General features: G+C 39.6%; 1 long non-coding RNA gene across 1 annotated transcript in view; it reads right to left on the bottom strand.

The window, feature by feature from the left end:
* Positions 1 to 16,969: 16,969 nt before the first annotated feature.
* The window catches only part of LOC105375409 (uncharacterized), a 59,585-nt gene continuing 58,584 nt past the window's right edge, over positions 16,970 to 17,970 (bottom strand). The window contains exon 4 of the long non-coding RNA XR_927774.3: positions 16,970 to 17,689. This is a non-coding gene — a long non-coding RNA (uncharacterized LOC105375409). The remainder of the gene's footprint in view (positions 17,690 to 17,970) is intronic.

Below are 17,970 nucleotides of genomic sequence, written 5' to 3'. Positions count from 1 at the left end.
ATTCCTGGCTAAGTCCTGGTTGGTGCTGTGTTGGGCTGGGCTCAAAGCCAGAGGATTTGGGTGCACACAACCTAGTGAGATATCAGCTGGAGTGGCCAAGGGAGTACTGTTGTCACCCCTTTCCCAACCCTGGGCAGCTTAGCTCACAACTCTGGGAGAGACTCCTTCCCTCTGCTTGAATAGAGGAGAGGGGAAAGTAAAGAGGACTTTGCTTGTAGCTGGGGTACAAATTCAGCCACAGTGGAGTAGGGCACCCCAAATCCTCTGGCTCCTGGGGTTCTCAATTCTAGGCCTAGGCTCCTGGATGGCATTTCTGGACTTGCCCTAGGCCAGAGCAGAGCCCACTGCCCTGAAGGGAGAGACCTAGGTCTGGCAGCATTCACCACAAGCAGACTGAAGAGCCCTTGGGGCTTGAATGAACATCAGCAGTAGCCAGGCAGTACTTGCTGTGAGCCTGGGGTGGTGGTAGCCATGGGGAGAGACTCCTCTGCTTGAGGAAAAGGGAGGAAAGAGGGAAAAATACTTTGTCTTGCAGCTTGGGTGCTAGCTCAGCCACAGTAGAATAGAGCACCAGTTAGATTCTTAAGGTTTCCCCCTCCAGGCCCTGGCTCCCAGACCAGCATCTCTGAACCTGAGTGGGGCTAGAGCAACTCACTGCACTGAAGGGGGAAGAACACAAGCTTGGTTGGATTTGCCACTGATGACTGCAGAGCCCTTGGGCCTTGAGTGAACATAAGTGGTAGCCAGGCAGTGATGACAGTAGGCTTTGGGTGAGACCCAGAGCTGCCATACAATCCAGCAATCCCACTCCTAGGTATATACCCAAAAGAAAGGAAATCTGTCTATCTAAAAAATATCTGCACTCCCATGTTAATTCCAGCACTATTCACAATAGCCAAGATTTGGAGACAACCTAAGTGTCCATCAACAGACAAATGGGCCAGGCACAGTGGCTCACTTCTGTAATCCCAGCACTTTGGGAAGCCAAGGGGAGCAGATTGCTTGAGCCCAGGTATTTGGAGTTAGCCTGGGCAACATAGTGAGACCCCATCTCTAAAAATAAAATTAAAAATTAAAAAAATTAGCCAGGCATGGTGGCATGAGTCTGTGGTTTTAGCTTCTCAGCAGGCTGATGTAGGAGGATTGCTTGAGCCTGGAAGTTTGAAGCTCCTGTGAGCCATGAACATGCCTAGGGGACAGAGTGAGATCCTGTCTGAAAAACAAACAAAAAGCCAAACAGAGTAATGGAAAAAGAAAATGTGGTACATATACACAATGGAGTACTGTTTAGCTATTAAAGGGAATGAGATTTTGTTATTTGCAACATGGATGGAAGACATTATGTTATGTTAAATAAGCCAAGCAAAGAAAGGCAAACTTCACATGCCCTCATTTATTTGTGGAAGCTCAAAATTCAAACAATTGAATTGATGGAGATAGAGAGTAGAATGATGGTTACTAGAGGCTGAGAAAGGTGGGGTTGGGGTAAGTGGGGATGGTTAATAGGCAAAAGAATATCGTTGGAATGAATAAGATCTAGTATTTGATAGCACAACAGGGTGACTGCAGTCAACAGTAATTTATCGTACATTTAAAAATAACTAAAAGAGTATAACTGGATTCTTTATAGCACAAAAAAGTATAAGTGCTTGAGGTGATGGATACCCCATTGACCCTGATGTGATTATTCTGCATTTTATGCCGGTATCAAAATATCTCATGTACCCCCAATATATATACACCTACTATGTACCCACAAAAAATAAAAAGCTCAAATGTTGAGCTTTATGCACTATCTTGCTATTTCCACATGTCTGAGGCACACTAAAAGTGTCTAACCCACCATCTGGGTATGCTCAAATATAGTTGAAAGAATATACAGACACTTGCCTTTATATAGCTTCTATCATATAGTTGCCATCAGAATTTTTCCTTTGTCACTTTCTCTCCTGTGTATATAAGATGAAATCACAAGTAACTTCCTCACTGATGCAGTCTGGTCAGCCTTTAGGCAGGGGCAAGGAGAGCTGCTGGGTTCTCCTCAGAGTCTAGCACTCTCCATTCCAGTACAGCTGAGGTGCCATTTTTGTGGTGGAGAGGGAAACTTTCTTTACAGAATTTTTTTCAATGTCACCATGTCACTAGACTTGGGACCTTCCAGATTCGATTCCCTCCCATTTGGTGCTCTCTGTCTGCTCCCTCCTCTTCCAAATCCACTGAATCCAAAACTTATAATGTTGTAATTATTGATCTGGGTGGTGGTTATACAAGAGTGTTTACGCTGAGATGATTTATTGAGTTCTGCCCTTATGGTCTGTGCAATGCTCTGTGTACATTTTTAAAGTGTAAAATGAAAATATAAAATTGTTAGCAGTTGCTAATTATGGTGGTGAGAACATATGTGTTTGTCATATTATTCTTTGTACTTTTCTATATCTTTTAAAGTTGCCAAAAGGAAAATTAAAACTCTCTTTCTATATATATTTCCAGATATATGTGGATAACTTTTTAGGAAAATATAATTTTTATGTGACCTTTGTAGCAATAAAAATATAAACAGCCCATATGCCTTAGAAGAAACAGAGACATTTTCAAAGTGCCCTCACAAAGAAAGCATCCACCCCAGATGATTCCTCTAGAAAATTTCACAAAATGTTAAAGATTAGATAGTCCCAATACCACCTAAACTACTACTAAACATAGAAAAGTAAGTAAACTTTTACCTTCTTAATGAAGTAAGTATAATGGGTGATAACTAAGCCTCTTACATATTGTCTACTTTTTTAAATTAGTGTCCTGAATATATTAAGTTCTTGAACATAAATTAATTGTAATTTTCAATTCCCTGATAATTCCTTTTAAAAAAAGCTTTAAAATTGACAGACAAAGTTGAATGTATCTACCACATACAACATGATGTTTTAAATTATATATACATTGTGAAATGACTAAATCTAGCTAATTAACATATATGCATTATGTTACATAGTTATTATTTTTGTGGTGAGAACACTTTACATCCACTCTCAGCATTTTTCAAGAATGCAATATATTATTAACTATAGTCACTATGTTGTACAATAAAGCTCTTGAATTTATTCCTCCTATCTAACTAAAATTTTGTGTCCTTTGACTAATTCCTTGTTCCCACCCCACCCCAAGTCTGATAATTCTAACATCTGTGTCATAGCTGAGTCTGGTTCTAATGAATGCCTGTCACTGCCACTGTGATTTTTTCTTGCCTTTTGTCATGCCTTATAATTTTCTTTGGAAAGCTAGACATGTTGTATTGGGTTATAGGATCTGGAGTAAACTGACCTTCAGTGTGTGGATTTGGGATTTGTGTTCATCTGGCTAGGAGCTGAGCTATGTTTAATGCTTGCTGTAACTATAGGTGCCAGAGCCTTTGAGTTCCTTTAGTTTCCTTGTTTTTGTATTCCCTTTGCACTTTGGGCTTCCCAAAGTACTCTTCCTCAGAAAGTCTGTGTCTTGTAGCTCCTAACAATTGCCGTCTGCTGTTATTCTACCTCAGCCCTGTTGGTAGGGTGGTAACGTGTAGGGAGGGGAAGCCTTCTATAATCTTATGATTAAATCTCAGTCTTTTAGTGGATGTATGTCTCAAAGCTATGACTTTCACAAGTACTTCTCTAGTGGTAAGGCTTCTTTTTTCCCTCTGCTCCTTACTTCCTTCTCTGGCTATGATGTTCTAGTTTATTTCCCTGAAGCCCAGCCCCCTTAGGTAAGGCAAGAAGGCTGAAGGAAGAATGCCCTTTTCTTAGATGGGATGAGGCTCTGGCAAATTCCCTCCCCTGCAGAGAACTATCTTGTGATGGAGAAGCATGTGAGGATAATTCACAACGAAGAGAATCTTTCCTGGATCTTTGCTATGAGAACCTGATGAAGTTCTGGAGGTAAAACCAATGACAGTGTAGGACACCCCCTAAGACTTTGGCCCCCAAGAGATTTTCACTATTACACTAGTCCACACTCAGCCTCTAGCAATGAGTCAAAATTATCATTTAAGTGTTTCTGACTTTAACGGCCTCTGCTTCACCTAAGCAGATCTCAGCTGTGACTCCCCAGATACACTTGTCTCTCCAGATGTTGGGGTGGCAGTTTGCCACCCATGGTCTTCACTCTAGATGGGTCCAGGAAAAGTGAATGATTTCCAGTGTGTCCGATTTTTTTCTTGAGTTAAGAATGGGGGGCCGGGCGCGGTGGCTCACGCCTGTAATCCCAGCACTTTGGGAGGCCGAGGCGGGTGGATCATGAGGTCAGGAGATCGAGACCATCCTGGCTAACAAGGTGAAACCCCGTCTCTACTAAAAATACAAAAAATTAGCCGGGCGCGGTGGCGGGCGCCTGTAGTCCCAGCTACTCGGGAGGCTGAGGCAGGAGAATGGCGTGAACCCGGGAAGCGGAGCTTGCAGTGAGCCGAGATTGCGCCACTGCAGTCCGCAGTCCGACCTGGGCGACAGAGCGAGACTCCGTCTCAAAAAAAAAAAAAAAAAAAAAGAATGGGAGTGACAACCTCCACGCTCTTTACTTGGTATAGCTAAACCAGAAGTCTCAAAAAGTTATGACAAAAACCTGCAAAATCAACCTCAATGCGCAAGAAAGGAAATAAGAAAAATAAGGGCAGAAATTAGTGAAGTAGACAATGAGTCTCTGACAACTAAAATCAACAAAAAAGGTGGTTTGTTGAAAATTGATAACATCTAATAAGACTAATCAATAAAAGGGAGAAGGCACAAATATAAGAGTATCAGAGCTGGAAAAGGTGGCGTCACTGGAGATTTTCAAGGCAATATAACAGTAAATAAGACTATATCAACATATTAGAAACAATTTTATGCCAATACATATGAACATATAGAAGATATGACCATACTTTTATTAAATACGACTTAACAAAATGGACAGGAGAAATAGATATCTAAACAGACCTACATGGTTAAATATTTACAATTTCTATAATGCAAACTAAATATTAAAGAAACTAAATCACTAATATAAAACCTTCCCCACAAAGAAAACTCCAAACTCTGACAGATATCTAAACAAATTCTGTTTTTAAAAAACAAATAATAAATAGCTTCAATATTTTATAAGTTTTTTCAGTGACATGCAATTAGAGGAGGAAGAATGCATGTCAGATATTGGGCAGCCAGTGGCACGGACAGGATTGACATTTGACAGTCATCTTTGGTTGCCCAGCAAACAGATCCCATTTATATTGTTAAAACCAAACAAGACCGGGCACAGTGGCTCATGCCTGTAATCCCAGCACTTTGGAAGGCTGAAGTGGAAGGATTGCTTAAACCTGGAGTTTGAGACCAGCCTAGGCAACAAAGAGAAACTCAAAAAATAGAAAATAATTAGCTCGGCATGGTGGCACGTACCTATGGTGCCAGCTACTCAGGAGGCTGAGGTGAGGGGATCACTTGAGCCCTGGAGTTTAAGGCTGCAGTGAGCTGTGTTTGCACCACTGCACTCCAGCCTAGGCAACAGAATGAGACCCTCATCTCTAAAAAAATTTAAAAATTTAAATAATAAATAAATAAAAACAAAACGCCACAGCACATGAGTGTTTGTGAGAAGCAGAAATTTAATCCCACTATGAAAATTTAAAGGACACCAGATGTTCTCCTCCTTAACTGGGATTTTGAATGTGGAAGAAGAAACCTGAAAACACAGAGAAAGTTAGAGATAGTTCATGGTGGCGGAGTCAATATGGCACCAGGCACTGGAGTGGGATTCTAACAGATATTCCTGTGGCACAACAGTGGATATGCTGTCTGCTTCCCATACTCCCTGGAGTCTGCCCATTATCTGAGCTAAGGTCTTTAACTTTCCTGTCAAACCTGTGAGCTGCATAATAGCATTGTAATACATTCATTTTCTGGTTAGTTTAGCCAGAGTTCAATGGTACAATCGTCATACATATCCTTAGTACCCAGAGGTGATGTAGCTGAGAAAGTATTAGCTCTTTCCACAACCCGTTTATGAGGTATAACAGAACCTTCTGGAAACCCTCATTAGTTAGTGTTAGTTTCTGCCATTTCTGGAGCAAGGTTCTGGCCTTTAGAAAAGACTCATTTTTTCCTTACTTGAAGCCTCCACTATTTTCTGTCACCTTGAATCTTTCCACTGGGCTCTTTGCCAGACTTCCAGTCTCATGTGGAATGACTGTGAAAGTTTTAGGTTACATAACTCATGGCTGCCGATAGGTAGTACAGCCTTCAGGATGTAAGTCTTTTTCATCCCAAATGACAAGAGACTTGAGACTGGTAATGCAATGAAACATTTACATTTCTGTTTCTCAGGCCTGACCAATCATAAATGCAAAGATGATAGTTTCTAGAGCTGCTATCCATTGCTGCCTATTTATGCTCAATTTAGCAGTGGTAAGGACACTAGTGAGCATTTTATGTTTGTCTATACTATTAGGTCGGTGCAAAAGTAATTGCGATTTTTGCCATTAATTTTAATGGCAAACTTTTAACGGCAAAGTTACTGGCATTAACTTTTAATGGCAAAAACTGCAATCACTTTTGCACAAACCTAGTATAAAAGAGTACTGCATTTCATATAAATCTGAAAATTTAACCCACATATCCTTCTTGACAGCTAAGAATTTTAATTTATGATCTCATTGTCAGACTGAATCAACCTAACTGATGCTATGGTCTCCTTTACTTGGGGGTACTCCTGTTATGATACCACTTCAAGCCTTCCAAGTTGAAATTTATGTGAAATATTATGAGGGCTGAGAAAATCCAATATCCAACACGAGTTCTCAGTATGGTTGCTCACAGGTTTCTTCCCACCTCTCTCTCTCTTAAAGGATCCATAGGACTTCAACACTCTAACCTCAGAAATATTTCCAGGCTGTGGGCTCATCCCCAGTTAAGACACAATGTGTTCCTCATATGTCACAAAGTTGCAGCAGTGCCAACCCTTACAAGGTCAGTTCCAACCCTGCCTTCTTCAGTAGTCTATATACTCTACTCTCCAACATCCTTCTGAGGATATCAGTACTTCCAAACACTTCATTTCTTTCTTCTGCTGAGGGACCTTGGAAATACCCTGAGTCACTGTCTGAGACTGGAAAAATCCTACCAGGCATGATATCTTTCTTCTCATTATTATCTGTATTCATGAGTGGCTGACAACAAACACATATAACACCACTGATTCTAATCTGACAATCTAAATTTGTGTTTTCAATATTCTAAATTAAAAGTACAATTTACTGGTTAAACTTTTGTTCAGTTCATGATAGATTAAAAACAAATCCTAATTTTTCCAGAGTTCATGCATACCGTGATGATCAACTATACCTAAGGGCTCTAAGACATGATTTTTCTGGCCTTAATTAATAATTTTTAAATATGGTCTCCAAAATAATTTATCTCAGGATGATTTTTTTCCAATCTTTTTACTTTTTTGAGCCCGAGTCTCACTATGTTGCCCAGGCGGGAGTGCAGTGGCAAAATCCTGGCTCACTGTAGCTTCGACCTTCCAGGCTCAAGCAATCCTCCCACCTCAACCTCCCAGGTAGCTAGGACTACAGGCACACACCACCATTCCTGGCTGATTTATTTTATTTTATTTTTATTTTTTGTAGAGATGGGGCCTTCCTATGTTGCCCAGGCTAGTCTTGAACTCCTGGGCTCAAGCGAACCTCCTGCTGTGGCCTCCACAAAGTGTCAGGCATGAACCACCACGCCTGACCCTTTTTTCTTTTCATTTCTTTTTAGTTGACAAATAATAATTGTTTATATTTATTGGGTAAATATTTTTATGTCAACTTTTATTTTAGATTCAGAGGGTATATTGCAGGTTTTTCATGTGAGTATATTGTGTGACACTGAGATTTCTGGGGTACAAATTATCCTATCACTGAAGCAGTGAACATAGTACATTGGGCAAACTTTGATGTTATGCTACATGTACACTTAGTGGAGTGATTAAATCAGACTAATTAACAAATCCACCAAGTCACATATTTGTTATTTCTTTGTGGTGAGAACATTCACAATTTTTTTTATTTTAACAATTTTGAAATATACAATATATTACCATTAACTATATTTCACCATACTGTGTAATAGATCACTGGAATTGATTCATCCTGTCTAACTGAAAACTTTGTATCCTTTGACTAACATCTCTCCTTTCCCTATCTACTCTCCTTCCACACTTATCCCCTGGGAACCATCATCCTACTCTCTATCTCTATGAGACCAACTTCTATAGGTTTCACATATAAATGAGTTCGTATAGTATTTGTCTTTCTATGCCTGACTTTTTTCACTTAGCATAATGTCCTCTACATTCATCTATGCTGTTACAAATGACAGAATTTCCTTTTTTAATGAAATAGTGAATAGTATTCCATTGTGTATATACACCACATTTTAAAAATCAGTTTACCATTGATAGACACTTAGATTGATTTCATATCTTAGCTATTGTGAATAAAGTTGCAATGATCATGAAAGTGCAGGCATCTCTTTCACACACTGATTTCAATTCCTTTGGATATATATTCAAAATGATTTTCTAAAATGTATTCCCTATTGTTTTGCCCCTTCTGCAAAGTAATAAACTTTTTCTCCTAGATTATTGATTTACCTTTTGTAATTCACTATGTGCTTCAGGCCCTGAGGAATCACCAAGAACACATTAAACTAATGTTGGAACCTCCTCCCCAGCTTCCCAGCTTCTATCTCACCTTCCTGACAAGGGGCACTAGTACACAAAGCATGTTCTGAGATTATGGCGAGCAACCATAAGAGGCTAACACGCAATTACACCTGTCTTGACCTAGGTTTCTCAAATAGCAGAGCCTGAGAAAAAAGCTCATGTGCCAATATCTTATTAAAGAGTGTGATCCATGGAGCAAGCATGAGAAACAATGGTAGTGAAGCAGGGAAGGCCAGAACAATGATGTGTTATGAAGTTGGCTGTCCATATGTGTGACTGATTGCTTAATCCCATGGGATCACTGAAATTATGAAATTTATCATAATCTAATCTAACTTAAAAATAAATATTGAATTCTTAGGGCATATGTTTTCTGACCACAATGATATTAAATTAAAACTCAATAACAAAAAAATGGAAACAACTCAAATGTCATTCAGTGGGTAAATGGCTGAGCAAACTGCAGCACATTCATACCATGAAATACTATTCAGCAGTAAAATGAAACAAATTATTGGTACACACAACATCTCAGCTGAATCTCTAGATAATTACACTGAGTCAGAAAAAATCTCCAATTTTACATTCCATGTGATTCAATTTATGTAGTGTTCTTAAAAGAACAAAATTATAGAAATGGAAAACAGATTAGTGGGTGTCAGGGGATAAAGCATCTGGGAGTTCCGGAGAAATTAATGTGACTATAAGAAAGCAACATGAGGGATCCTTGTGATGATGGAAATCTTCCGTAACTTGACTGTATGAATGTCAATGTTTTGGTTGCGATATTGTACTATAGTTTTATTAGGTATTATCATTGGGGGATAAAAGGTACACAGTATCTCTCTGTATTTCTTTATGCCTGTCTATGGATCTACAATTATCTCAAAAGAAAAAAATGTTCAATTTTTAAGATGAAAGAAGAGCCCTGTCCACAATTTATAGGATTATCATTATTCCAGTATCATTCAAGTGCCATAAGCAGAGTGTAACCTACAATCTTATTTGCCACCTGTATCTCACTGCATCAAACCACAGGTGAGAACTTCGGTAATTGAAATGCCAGAGGTTATGCCATGCTGCTGCATGACTTCAGGAATGGGTCCCTTATGGCCATCTGACTTGTGAGCAAACCAGTTTCAGAATCCCATCCTGAAGCCTACTCTAAAGGTCCACTACAAGTACTATAGACAGGTTCCCCAATATGCAGAGCCTGAGACAAAGCTCAAACTCCAACACTTTATTGGCAGCTATGATCTAGGAAGTAAAGGTAAGAGATAGTGAAAGCAAAGCAGGAAAGCATAGAAAGCTAATACAAAGACGGGTTGTCAAGTTGGCTACCACCATGGATGACTGGTTATGTGATAGTCAGAATTCTAAAGATCTCCCCGAAGATACTCATCACCTGGTTATTTAACCAAACTCAAATATAGGCACTACTATGAAAGGGCTTTGCAGATGTAATTAAGGTGACTAAAAAGCTGATCTTAAAATAGGGAGATTATCTGAAATTAATAGATGAGCCAGCCCAATCTAATCACATATGCTCTTAGAGGCAGAGAACTTCCCTAACTGGAGACAAGAGCAGTCTTGGAGACATGGCATGGATTCTTCCAGCAACACAAATAAGCTTGGAATTGGATTCTCCTCAGAGCATTCAGCAAAGAATCTAAGCCAGCAGATACCTTGACTTTAGTCTTCTGAAACCCAGAGCAGAGAAACCCATCAAGCCAACCTAGACTTGTGACCTAAAGTACTGGAGATAAAAAATTTGCATTATTCTAAGTCACTAAGTTTGTGGCAATTTGTTACAGCAGCAACAGAAAATGAATACAGCTTGATGCCTAAAAGTAACTCAGGACTGTACATCCAGGGAAAGAAAGGAGTGAAAATTTACTCATTGACTCTCACCTCACATTAGTGAAGGTTATTGCACAGGGCAATAACTGCCTTGATTATTCAGGGTTCTTCAGAGAACACACCACATGCACACACACACACACACACACACACTCACACACACATCTCTCTAGGTAGACGGAGAGAGAGAGAGATTTATTTTGAGGAATTGACTCAGGCAATTGGGAAGCTGGAAAGTCCAAAATCCCAGGGAAGACTTAATGCTTCAGTTTGAGTCCAAAGTTTATCTGCTGGCAGAATTCCCTCTTTTATGGGGGAGGTTAGTTTTTTTCTATTAAGGTCTTCAACTGATTGGATGATACCCTCCCTCATTATGGAAGGCAATCTCCTTTACTCAAAGTCTACAGATTTAAACGCTAACCTTATCTTAAACAGTATCTTCACAGAAACAGAATTTTACGTTGTGTGACCAGATATCTGGATACAGTGGCCTGGGCAAGTTAACACATATAATTAACCATCACACTGACCTACGTTTTTGAGTTATACATACATGAGTGCTCAGCAGTTTCCCATCCAGTTTACTATGATAATAGACCAATTAAAAAAAGCCTTGGGCAGGAAATAATCCAGTGTGAGGGGCAGGCCTGAGGCAAAGTGCTGCCAGGCTGCACATAAAGGAGCTGGCCAAAATGCAAGGTTGTTTTCATGCTCATCCCATAAAAAGAAAGACCAAGGAGCAGAGAAAGGAACAGCTTCATTTTTCTGGATCCCAGACCTACGGCACATCCAGCTGTGACTCTAATTTGCACAAAGGCACCATATGTGCTAGCAGCAGTCCAACTGAGGTGGCATAATGAAGGTCAGTGGGGTCAAGAAGGCAAGATTTGTCTGAGAGAGTTAGCAGAGAGATACCAGAGCAACAAGGCTGATGATGGAACATGGCAGAAGAGAAACCTGAGGCAAGAGGTGCCATCTTTTGGCCTTGGTGTGAAGTACAAAATAAAGATAATGATAAAAAGCTGGTCTCCTTAAAAAGAGTGGCTGCTTGTAGCCTGGGATGCTTTCTTCCACCACATCCACTTCTCTCAATAGATGAGTTGTGAGGTTGGGCAGATTCCCTAGGTACTCTGAGGCATTTAATTTCTTGTTTTACTTTGAATCTCAGCGTGTTCCATTCTGAGAGGTTATTTTCCTCTCTTCTTTGACACAACCTCACACATCTACATCCAGACCCATGGACTGGGTCCTGAAATCTGGAAATCCCCAGGCTAGAGGGACAGTATCTTTGGAAGATAGATCATCCTCTCCTGTGTGGTGGTGGGAGGCAGTCCATGGCTTCCCATCCTGAACCCCACCCTCATCTGAAGAATCACAGGGCACCAACCCTCAAGTATTGCTAACTCCCTGTCTTCTCTCATTTGCTATTCTGGATCCACCACTTACTGGCTGGGTGATCTTGGGCCAATTGTCTGACTTTTCCTTGCCTTTTTCTCTTCATCTATCAAATGATGATAATAAAAATGCATACAGTCAGGCATTGTTTAATCATGAGGATACATTCTGAAGAGAAATGCATTGCTAGGTGACTTAGTTGTTGTGCAAACATCACAGAGTGGTACCTACTAATAGGTATAGCCTATTACACACTTAAGCTGTATGGTAGAGCCTATTGCTCCTCGGCTACAAACCTGTAAACCATGTTACTGTAGTGAATACTGTAGGCAATTGTAATACGATGGTAAGTATTTGTGTATCTAAACATAGAAGAGGTACAGTAAAAATACAGTATTATAATCATATGGGACTACCATCCTATATGCGGTCTGCCATTGACAGAATGTTGTTATGCAGTGCTTGATGGTACTTTATAGAATTGTGGTTTAGCTTAAATGGGCTAATACAAGTAAAGTGTTGGGAACGGTGCCAGACCAGAGATTAAAATCAACCTAAAATATAGAGTACTGATTAAACGAATTATAATTTGGCCATATAATAAAATACCATGCAGTTGTTTAAAAATAAAGATTTATAAGATATATTAATGTTGAGAAGTTGCAAAACAGCTTGTATAATATTCGTGTAGAACAATATGGCAAAGCAATATATATTTATATTTGGTTGTATATGCATAAAATTACTCAGGGAAGATACACAAGAAACTAATAATAGTCGTTTTTCTATTTGGGTCATAAAAACTAGGCAAATGGGTGACAGTGGTAGAAGAGAGTTTTTTCCACTGTATATTTTTATATGTTTTGAATTAAGAACCATATAAATGTATTATCTACTCAAAAATAGATCAAATACTTTAAAAACAAAATATAAAAAAGGAATAATTCTAATTAATTATTGGATCTAGGAAACTGTAAATCCATATGTGAGGGTCATGATCCTGAAACGTAGGTTTCATACATTAGATGATTAGGCTTCTTTCTTCTTTGAGAATTTCTGATCAATTGCAGTCCTGAGTCATGAATGCCTGAGCACTCAGGGGACCTATCTCATGGCAAGGGTGGCACCTGCAGGACAAACTGAGAATTTGTTAGTTTATTTGCTGAGCAGAAGAGCACTATAGCTGGAACATAGCTGGAGGTGGGTGATCATGGATTTCCCATTAGAGTTGTTAGACAAAGAAGTTCCATAAACACTGATGGAACTACTGCAAGCAAAGGTATGTTTAATTTAGGGCATCCAGGAAAAGTGCTTCCCACTTACTAGTTGTATTTTTCAGTGAAGGCATTTAATAGCCTCTGGAATATTATTCTTTCAGGTGTGAAATATGGATCATGAAGCCCATTTTTTAGAGTTGTATGGATTTGAAATGAAGTATCTGAAGTTCATCATCCAGCTCCTAGCACACTCCCCAAGTTCGATAACTACTAGCTATCAGTATTGTTAATGGCCACTGTCTGCCCACTGCTTCTGTTTCAGCCAGATACTCAGCTTGGTACCAATCAGCCCCTTCACCACTTTCCAGATGAAATCCAGTTACCCCATGCACGACATGATTTTTGAGGTTACACTTCAGAGTCATGCAGAAGGGTCACCTGAGCAGTCATCAGAATCCCTTCCAGGGACCTTCTCCGTTGTCGCATTCAGCTCCTGAGACTCCTGTGTCCTTGCTCCAAGGCTCTCCCTGCCTTGTCAACTCCCTGCCTGCGCCCCTTCTCTGACTTCTTACTTATTCAGAGCGACGTCTCTCTCCCACTTTAGACTTCTGTCAAATGAAAAAACACATCTGGACCTAAGTCAGCAGTGACTTTATTCAAAAAGACTATTGCAATAGGAAGAGGAGAACTATTGAAATCAATGGAGAAAATGCTTAACTGTAAGGTCCATATGCCTCTCGATGGTCAGGCAGAAAGGGCTTTTGTTTTATAAGGAAGAGTAAACAAGGCTACAAAGAACTGGGAGAAGGGGAATAGGACAAGCAGGTGTCGTGATCAGAGAGGTGAGCTGGAAGTATCAATTCTCTGAGGTCCAGAGGGGTTGTTATATGGAATTGTTCCAAATTCCAATGCTTGCTTAACCTCCCAGGGGACAAAGTTTAGAGGTCTGCAGGAAGGAGAGAAGCCTGACTAAACTTTCCTTGGTCAAAGTAAGTTAGCAGCACTTTGCTCAGTTGATCAAATCAGAAAATCATATGATGCAGAAAGTTGGTCAGTGGGGAAAACAGTTCAGCTATTATATCTTTTATAAGATTAAAAATGGGAATATGGAGAACTTGTGTCTTGTCATAGGTAAGCAAGGGAGTCTTATCTAAGTTTGGGGAAGGGTAATTCTTTGCAGTAAGCCTTTTTCTGGAACTTGGAGGATGGGGGCAGTTCTCAGCTGTTGCAGTGTTCTAGGAACACTTGGATCATGAAGAATTCAAAATCGTCATTTCCAAAGTAGCACCTTACACTACACCTCCAACTACTGGTTATTTGGAGCCATTTACTTATCATTCTCTGCCTCTGTTTCTTCACTTCTTTGTATTTAGGAAAAAATAATTACTAAATTAATTATGCATTTTTAAACTAACTGACAGCAAGAGGAATTTATCTTTACAGTTATAGAAAGTTGCATACATCAGAATGTATTTCTCTTTTTTTTTTTCTTGCTTTGTTTTTTTGAGATGGAGTCTCACTCTGTTGCCCAGGCTGGAGTGCAGTGGTATGATCTCTGCTCATTGCAACCTCCGCCCCCTGGGTTCAAAAGATTCTCCTGCCTCAGACTCCTGAGTAGCTGGGATTACAGGCTCCTGTCACTGCCCCCGGCTAATTTTTGTATTTTTAGTAGAGACAGGATTTCACCATCTAGGCCAGGCTGGTCTTGAACTCCTGACCTCATGATCCAGCTGCCTCGGCCTCCCAAAGTGCTGGGATTATAGGCCTGAGCCACTGTGCCCAGTTGGGAGAATATATTTCTTAAAAAGAACATTCTTGTATAGAATCATAGTAATATTATCCCCCAAAATTAATGTTATGATATTTTATAATGTCCAGTCCACATTCTAACTTTTCTATTATAATTGTCCTCCAAATGACTTTTATTGCTTTATTCTCCCTCTTGAAACAATAAACAATCTAAGTTCACGCATTGCATTTGGGTTTTATGTCTCTTCAGCTTCCTTGGATTTTGCTACTCAAAGTGTGATTCGTGAATCAATATTATCAACACCAAGTGGAAATTGATTTGAAATGCAGAATTTGAGGCCCTCCCCAAACCTATTGAATCAAAATCAACTTTTGAACCAAATCTCAAGGTGATCTCTATGCACTTTAAGGACAGAAGAACATGGCTCTGGCACATTGCTCCCACATTTTCCCCCAGGATACTGAATTTTTGGAAAGTTGAGAACAGTTATCTTTTTTTTCACAACTACTTTTACAGTCACTTACCTGAATATAAAAGTCACTTACATCCATTTTTGGACATTTGGAAAATGGCAATTTTATGTTCTACTTTGTTTTTCTGTTTCTGGGTGTGCTTTAGTATCTTTAAAACATCCTTTTCCTTTTTTCTCATTTTTTCTTTTGATCATGTAGGTAATATATAAGTACTGCTCAAAGAAAAACCTTAGCCAGATTAAACTTGACAGAGTTCAATTAACCAAAGAGCGATTTGAGAATCGGGCAGCCTCAGGAGCTAGAGTAGGCTCAGAGACTCCAGGGCAGCCATGTGGTGGAAGAAGATTTATAGACAGGTAAAGGAAAAGTGAGATACAGAAACAGTCGGATTGATTATAGCTTAGCGTTTACCTTATTTGAACACGGTTTGAACGATTGGTCCCCTTTGATTGGCCAAAACTCAGTGATTGGCATAAGAGTAGGTTACAGTCTCCATTTAAGTTATAGTTTACTATATACAGAAAAACCTTTAGGCTGAACTTAAGATATGTAAGGAGAAGCATTAGACTAAACTTGATTTAATAGTACATTTTTTATTGTAAAACTTCAAATAATTTAGAAATCTACAAAGAAAAGTCTGCAGCCTTCTTTATGGTTTTTTTTTTAATCACTTTTATTTCCGTTTTCAGAGGTAACTACTGTTGACTGATTGATACTTATCTGTATCATCCAGGATTCAGTGAAAGAAGCAGAATCATGATAAGAATTATGGAAAGAGGAATTTTTTTTTAGTAGGAATTAGATCTTACAAAAATGTGGGCAGTACTGGAGAAGCAAAAGTCTGGAAGAGGAGTCAGATAGCAAAGTCCCTAGCCAGAGTGCCTAGGAGCAGTGGTGTAGGCAAGCCAAACCCTAGGCTCGCACGGAAATTTGAGCAGCAGGCATGTTCAACTAGCAAAGCGGGATCAAGAACAGGAGCTCGTGTGGAAGGCTATGCATGGGAAGCTATTACCTCTGCATAACCACCTCTCTGTGGATCCGTAGCCAAGCATCTTTTGATCAGCTGTGGCTGCTATTGGATATCAGGGCAAGACATAAGAAAGAGCAGATGGACATGGAGGTTTGACCTATTGGCCAACACCATATCCAACCACAGTGACCTTCTGAGAGTAATGGCTGCTCTTTTGCTTCTGCCTTCCAAATCTTATATAAGTTCCCTCATGGCCAACTCTAACCTCGATTGAAAAAGAAAGCACAGTCCGGGTGCAGTGGCTCACGCCTGTAATCCCAGCACTTTGGGAGGCCGAGGCGGGCAGATCATGAGGTCAGGAGCTCGAGACCATCCTGGCTAACATGGTGAAACCCGTCTCTACTAAAAAATACAAAAAATTAGCCGGGCGTGGTGGCGGGTGCCTTAGTCCCAGCTACTGGGGAGGCTGAAGCAGGAGAATGGCGTGAACCCGGGAGGCGGAGGTTGCAGTGAGCCGAGATCGCACCACTGCACTCCAGCTTGGGCGACACAGTGAGACTCCGTCTCAAAAAAAAAAAAAAAAAAAAAAAAAAGAAAGAAAAAGAAGAAAGCACAACCCAGCACTGCCTCCTACCCAGCCTGAAGGAGTCTATATGGATGTGCATTCTTTATAGAAATGAAATCACACTGTGATTTTTTTTACCACTTTCACAAAGTCTAGGTCAGTTAGTACGTATTACATATGAAACGAAACTCCCTCTTTTCACATTTTTGCATCTCCTTAAGATATCATTTTCAAACCATTGGTGGTATCCCTTCGTGGTTTATGGACTTAATTAGTGTGTCAAAAGCACCATTAAAAAGGATAGACTAGAACAGGAAATATAAAAGTGTCATATCCCTCTGTAAGGATAACTATTGCTTTGTCAAATGTTTGTTTTAGTTAAATATGTGTGTGCTGTGGACACAGCCTGAAATATATATCTTACTGAAGGGAACAGCAGTTAAGAAAAACATTGCCTTTGAATGTTTTTTTCTTCTTTCTTTCATCTTCTTCTTTCTTTCATCCAATCTCCCCTAACCCTATGTTTTTGTTTGGTTGTTTATTTTGATGTATAACCAGAATTTGGAAAAGAATAGGGCAATATCTGGGGCTAATCATTTTTGAACTAAGGGAATGAGAGAGAAACAACTAAATTCACCTTTTGTAAATAAAAAAAGCAAAAAAAAAACCCCAGAAATATATAATGTCTTATACATCACCAGTCCAAAGTTGCTAGTGAGCCCTAGAGTAAGATTCTTCTTCAGCAACCTGAAAGAGAAGAGAGCAAATATGACCAGAAAAATCATACGATGTAGAAAGCGCAAAAAAAAAAATCTCTTTGGACAATGTTGAATCTTACAAGAGATTGATAGATTTCATTTCTGAACTTCCATAACCAACAGTAAAACATACATTGATTTGTTTGGTAATGGAGACCTCTAGAGAGTGCATGTCAGAATTGCAGCAAAACGTTTCTTTTTTAAGCACTAACTTTAGTTGACATCATAGATTTTTGGAACAGTAAATGGACCTGAGAGATCCTTGAATTC

The sequence above is a fragment of the Homo sapiens genome, chromosome 7 (genome assembly GCF_000001405.40).
Source record: "Homo sapiens chromosome 7, GRCh38.p14 Primary Assembly".
Lineage (NCBI taxonomy): Eukaryota > Metazoa > Chordata > Mammalia > Primates > Hominidae > Homo > Homo sapiens.
The sequence above is the reverse complement of the archived record's forward strand: the minus strand, read 5'-3'. Positions and strand labels throughout refer to the sequence as shown.